At 43.4% G+C, this 5,784-nt stretch overlaps 2 annotated features.

Annotated features, from left to right (window-relative positions):
• Positions 1,826-2,327: an enhancer, noted in NCBI's record as "NANOG hESC enhancer chr3:137665042-137665543 (GRCh37/hg19 assembly coordinates)". NCBI's record gives its function as "activates a minimal SCP1, AML or CMV promoter by ChIP-STARR-seq in naive H9 embryonic stem cells {active_cell/tissue: H9 hESC(naive)}" and the evidence as "EXISTENCE:reporter gene assay evidence [ECO:0000049][PMID:30033119]".
• Positions 4,135-4,803: an enhancer, noted in NCBI's record as "OCT4-NANOG hESC enhancer chr3:137667351-137668019 (GRCh37/hg19 assembly coordinates)". NCBI's record gives its function as "activates a minimal SCP1, AML or CMV promoter by ChIP-STARR-seq in naive H9 embryonic stem cells {active_cell/tissue: H9 hESC(naive)}" and the evidence as "EXISTENCE:reporter gene assay evidence [ECO:0000049][PMID:30033119]".

The raw sequence follows: 5,784 nt of genomic DNA on the forward strand, positions 1-5,784 counted from the left end.
AATACCCCCAATTCACCACTGTTTAACAGTTGGACCTCCATCTTATACCAGATGCTGTCTGTGATCACCCACCAACAGTGATAAGCTCCTCACTACAGACAGGTGGTGAATAATCCTACTCCAAAACGGTATCTCATTGCCGACACTCTTTAACCAGCCATTACTGGTACCAACCATTCCAGCTTGGGTTCTCTGGAAGCAGATGGGGAGACAAAATTTAAGGTGTAAGGTGCTCATTGGGGACCAATACCTTTGAAAGGAAGGGGTGAAAGCAGGATTAGCTTACAATGCAGGTCTGATTGGGCTGGAAATGTTGGGCCTTTATACTGCCACCTTGTTAAATCACTGGATGTTGGCTGTTAGGGAAGTTGTAACCTCAGCTATTTACAGCTGAGGCCAACCCTTGAAGGTACTCACAACTGACAGTCACCTGCTAACCACACTTCCTGGTACACCCAGAAAGCAAGTCCTTCATTGAAGAGGAATCTGGGTGGTTCATGCCCAGGTCTACTGCACAAAGATTTTCAGTTACTACTCGTCAATATCCATGTTCCCTTTTTTTCATAATACTAAAACCATAATTTTTACTTGAGCAGAGTAATCGCTAAGAATAAACACTATGTTTTCCAGCCTCCCTTGCAGGAGTCATGGCCATGTGGCCAAGCTCTAATCAATGAATTGTGGGCAGATGTTTCACATAACATTCCCAGGAACCTAATCTTCCTAAATAGATGACTGCTACTTATCCTTTATCCTTTTCTTCATCCCTTCCTCATTAATGACCAGAATGCAACATGATGTCAGAGTCTGCTATAGCCCTCCTGGGACATGAGGTGATTGTGCAAATAAGGCCACATGTGTGACCAACAGGATGGAGGTGGCCAGGTCTCTGAGGACTTTGTGAAGCAGAGCTACATACCTTCCCTTGATTCCCTGTCTCTGGACCCTCAAGAGACACAAATAAATTCTGTCTTATTTGGATCATTGCTATTTTGGGTCTCTGGGTTTTTGTTGTTGTTGTTGTTGTTGTTGTTGTTCTTTTTTTTTTTTTTAGATGAAGTCTCACTTTGTCACCCAGGCTGGAGTGCAGTGGTGTGATCTCGGCTCACTGCAACCTCTGCCTCCTGGGTTCAAATGATTCTCCTGCCTCAGCCTCCCAAGTAGCTGGGATTACAGGTGCCTGCCACCACACCCGGCTAATTTTTATATTTTTATTAGATACAGGGGTTTTCACCATGTTGGCAGGCTGATCTCAAACTTCTGACCTCAGGTGATCCGCCCACTTCAGCCCCCAAAGTGCCGGGATTACAGGCGTGAGCCACCACACCAGGCCTTGGGTCTCTGTTTTTTAATAGCCAGATCTAATTCTAATTGATACAGATGGATCCTGGCTAAGCATTTCCCAGGTGTAGGTTGCTCATAGGGAAAAATTGTCCACTTTGGAGGAGACTCAGCTATGTTATACAATGACTGTATTGGATCTCTAGCTAAAACGATATTGCCTTAAAATCATATTCTCATCATAGCACTAAGATGGTCAGAGCTTTGGCTGGGGCATTAACTTGAACCTTTCTTGAATGTCCAGGGATGCCAGCCTGGAATGTAGGTGTGGGTTCCTTTATCCCTGATCATTCTAGGCCTGTGATAACCTATAACTACTAGGATGACTCCCTACCAAGTCTCCCCTCCAGAAGCCACCTTTCGCTTGCAATGTCCTGGCTTTCAGATGCTGCTCTGGTAACAGCCTCTTCCCCTAGATTGTTAAGATTTTCTTCACCAGTGGTGGAGTCCCAGGATGTCCTTTCTAGGCACGCATGAGAATAAGCAAAATATTTAGTCTTCACTTTCTTTTTTCTCTTTTGTTTGTTTCTTTTTTTTTTCCTTTTTTGCCAGCGATATGACTATTTTTCATCTACTACAAATTCTTTAAGTTCTGATGCCTAAATTTGATTTTCTGTTTTACGGTAGCATTTGTAATTAAGTTTCAAACTTTGAATCAGCTTCCAGATGCAAACCTACCACTCATCTTTTGTGTGATCTTGAAAAAACAATTTGCCCTCCCTGAGACTCAGTTTCCTCATCTGTTAAATGAGTGCCAGTTTTAGCCGATCATCTGCAACTTACCTTTGCGGGGGCGGGGCGAAGGGGGGATTGTTTGTCCTATTGCATCCGTAAGTTGCTACTGCCCTCTAGTGGTCATAAGATGATTTGATTTCCTCCAAGAAAGTAGCCCCGGGGCCTGAAGGCTTCCTGGAAACATGAAATGCAATCTTCAGAACTCAACCATGTAACAGGCGAGCTGTATTGTCACATCCTATTAGGATGCCACAGGGAAGGGCAAACTAAGAAAAATGCAAACATTAGGTGAACTGTGGGATAAATGTCTAATTTAAAACAGAGAATAAATAAATCTCACAACTACCATCACAAACTTGGCAATACCTTAAAGGTGTCAGTGACATAAAATAAGCCAAAACTGGTAGGCAAACTCTATGTTCTTTGTAAGATTTCAGAATCCTCTCTGGTATATCTTAGCATGTACCAAGATTGGGAATCAGAACTAAAACAGCTTTCAACTTATCCTTGCTATACAGTGGCTCCTTTGTTGTCCATTTTCATAGCCCTAACCACCTTGCACATGGTCTAATATTTAGGAGACATTTAGTCAACTTTATGCAGAAGGAAAATAAATCCACACAGTTGCATATGTCAAATTGCTCATCCCATAGGGAGAATATTAACAGCTGATATTTAATAAGGACTTAACTCTGTGCCAAGCATTTAATATGCAATCACTCATTGAATTCTTATGACACTCCTATGAAATAGATGTAATGATTACCATAACCTCTTTACTATAAGGAAACTGCCCAGGCTCATAGCAGAATTGCATTCACTCCCCTCTTGAAGTCAGGCATCACCACGTGATTCCAGTGAGCCAATGAAGTGTGAGTGGAAGTGGCCTCGGTTCAGGCCCCCATGATAGCATTTAAGAGTTACATGACCTTGGGCACATTTCTTGACTTTTCTGCACCTCAATTTCTAACTGTGTGATTTTGAGCAACTTACTTAATCCTCTGTGCTTCTGTTTCTTCATCTGTAAGCTGAGAGAAGCACTGTCTCACCTGGGTTTGTGAGGATTCAGTGAGATAGTGTGTAAAGGAGTTGGCAAGTGTAGACAGTCAATAAATGCAGTAATGTTTTTATAAAATTATCAGGATTTTTTTTCTTTTTTTTTTTTTTTTGAGATGGAGTCTTGCTTTGTCACCCAGGCTGGAGTGCAGTGGCGCAGTCTCGGCTCACTGCAACCTCTGCCTCCCGGGTTCAAGTGATTCTTCTGCCTCAGCCTCCCGAGTAGCTGGGACTACAGGCGTGCAGCACCACACCTGGCTAGTTTTTGTATTTTTTTTAGTAGAGACAGAATTTCACCATATTGGCCAGGCTGGTCTTGAACTCCTGACCTTGTGATCCACCCACCTCAGCCTCCCAAAGTGCTGGGATTACAGGCATGAAACACTGTGCCCAGCCAAATTGTCAGGATTTTAAGAAAAGCTATGCATTTATATTAGGAATATTTTTGAAGTTGTTTAAAGGTGAAAGAAGGAATTTCTATGGCACAAATGAAGAACATGGGAAAGACCCAATGCAGAGCACGTACTTATGTTAAAACAAGTTGTCAGCATGTTCTTCCCAATTTGACAGGACTCTTGATAGCAGCTCAGCTACACCTTTGGAAACCCTGAGGGCACCAGCTTGGTTTATAGGCTGCTTACTGGGCTCTGCTGACTCACATATTCCCCTTGTCAATGCTGCATCTACTCTGAGCCTGGCACTGATGGCCAACAACAAGCCTGAGAAGCAGTGTCCCATCCAGAGGAGACACATGCATTTGTAGAAAGCATAGCTGGTGGAGAAGTAGAGATGGGACAGGGAATCAAGCAGCCTCTGATGAGAGGCACCACTGTCAGAGAGCTCCAACCTCACAGACATCCACACCAGGTCAGATGAAGAGGAATTCCTGGGCTGGCTTCCCACAGAAATGGGGGAGTAGCACTATCCCCAGGCATCCCCCAGCGCTGTGCCATCTGTCAGAACCACAGACACTTCCACCATCAAGGAGAGCTAGAAAGAGGGAATGTGGTAGTGCGAGTCAACATCCGCCAGGCACATGCCTGTTTATTCCTGACACTTTAAGGCAATGTTCTGCAGAAGTAGCTCCAGCCTGCTTGGTGCAGCCCAGCCCAGCAAGTGCACAAGTAGTGAAGCCAAAAGTCACTCAATTTTAATCCTACTTGACCCTGGGACTCAAGTTTCACTATGTGCTTATTAATGCTGGAGAAGTACCTCACTGGCATCTGAAGACAGAAGGAACAAAGTGGCAACAAAATACTCAATGTTAAAGCAAGCACATTGACCCACAGAGGTCTTTACATGCAGCTGAGCCATCATCCTCATCTTCAAAGAAGGTGATTAGGGATCTCACACTGGGCAACTTGCACCTAAAAGGGTCTACTGCTGGCAAAGGCTATCTAGATCAACTTCCTGCTGTGAAATTCAGATGGCAATGGCTATCTGCAGGCTAAATGAAGAGGAACCCTGACAAGCTGTGTGTCCCTAGGAGGGAGATGGGTCCAGAGGCTATTCCCCTGCCCAAAAGTGGGTTCTTGGATACAGTGCCCCAGGGCTCAGCTTAGGGCAAAACTTAGAGTTAACCTCAAAAATTGTTCCTGGAAATGACACTAATAATCATATCTTCTACTTAAAATCATTGTACTAGGCACTTTACATTACTTCATTTAATTCTCACTGCATTTAATATCTTCAGCTTCCACATATGAAAACTAAGGTTCTGAAACGTTAACTTGTCCGAAATCAAACAGCCAGTGAGTAGTAAAGAAATTCCAAATTATGTTCCTAGCCACAGTATCTGAAATTATGCCTGTGCTGGAAATATGGTAATGGGTCCAGGAAAGAAACTATCTTTCTCCAGTCAGACATCAGAAAGCACTGAAAGTCTCTAAGGAACATCCTTAGCTTGCAGAAATGCAAACAGAGCATTTTTCAGAGAAGTTTGGAAAATTAATAAGTAGAAACTTGAGGAAGGTCTTCTCTCATGCTTCATGACTGAGGGCTTTGGAGTGGGACTCAAGATGAATAACTATAGAAGTCCTAGCAGTCGTAGTAGCAGCTATCAGTGAGGGCCTATTTAGATGTCATGCCGAGCATTCTTCTAAGCCCTTTACACGTACTGACTATTTAATCCTGTCTACAACTCAGTGAGGGTGGTGCTATTATTATCCTTATGTTACAAATGAAGAAACTAAGGTACAGATCATTTAAAAACTTGTCCAGATCATACCACTGTGCTGGATTTCCTGGATTTAAACCCAGGTGGTCTGGCTCTGAAGCCTGCAAACACAACCACTACACTGCATGTTGACATGGAATAGCAGTAGAGACCTGACCAGAGTGCCAGGATAGCAAAGGGCAGTTTGGAAGACTCATGAGGAATGGCTAGTGACACTTCTGGTTCAGGAGAATTACACCCTCTGCATCAGTTTCCTATTGCTGCTGTAACAAATTACACCAACTTAGTGGCTTAAAACAATACTCAATTATCATCTTACAGTTCCTATAGGTCAATCACAGTGTGGATGAATAGGTGGTTTCAATAGCTCCAGCACAGTATGGATGAATATGTGGTTTCTATAGCTCCAGCACAGTGTGGATGAATAGGTGGTTTCTATAGCTCCAGCACAGTGTGGATGAATAGGTGGTTTCTAT

The sequence above is a fragment of the Homo sapiens genome, chromosome 3, assembly GCF_000001405.40.
Source record: "Homo sapiens chromosome 3, GRCh38.p14 Primary Assembly".
Taxonomy (NCBI): domain Eukaryota; kingdom Metazoa; phylum Chordata; class Mammalia; order Primates; family Hominidae; genus Homo; species Homo sapiens.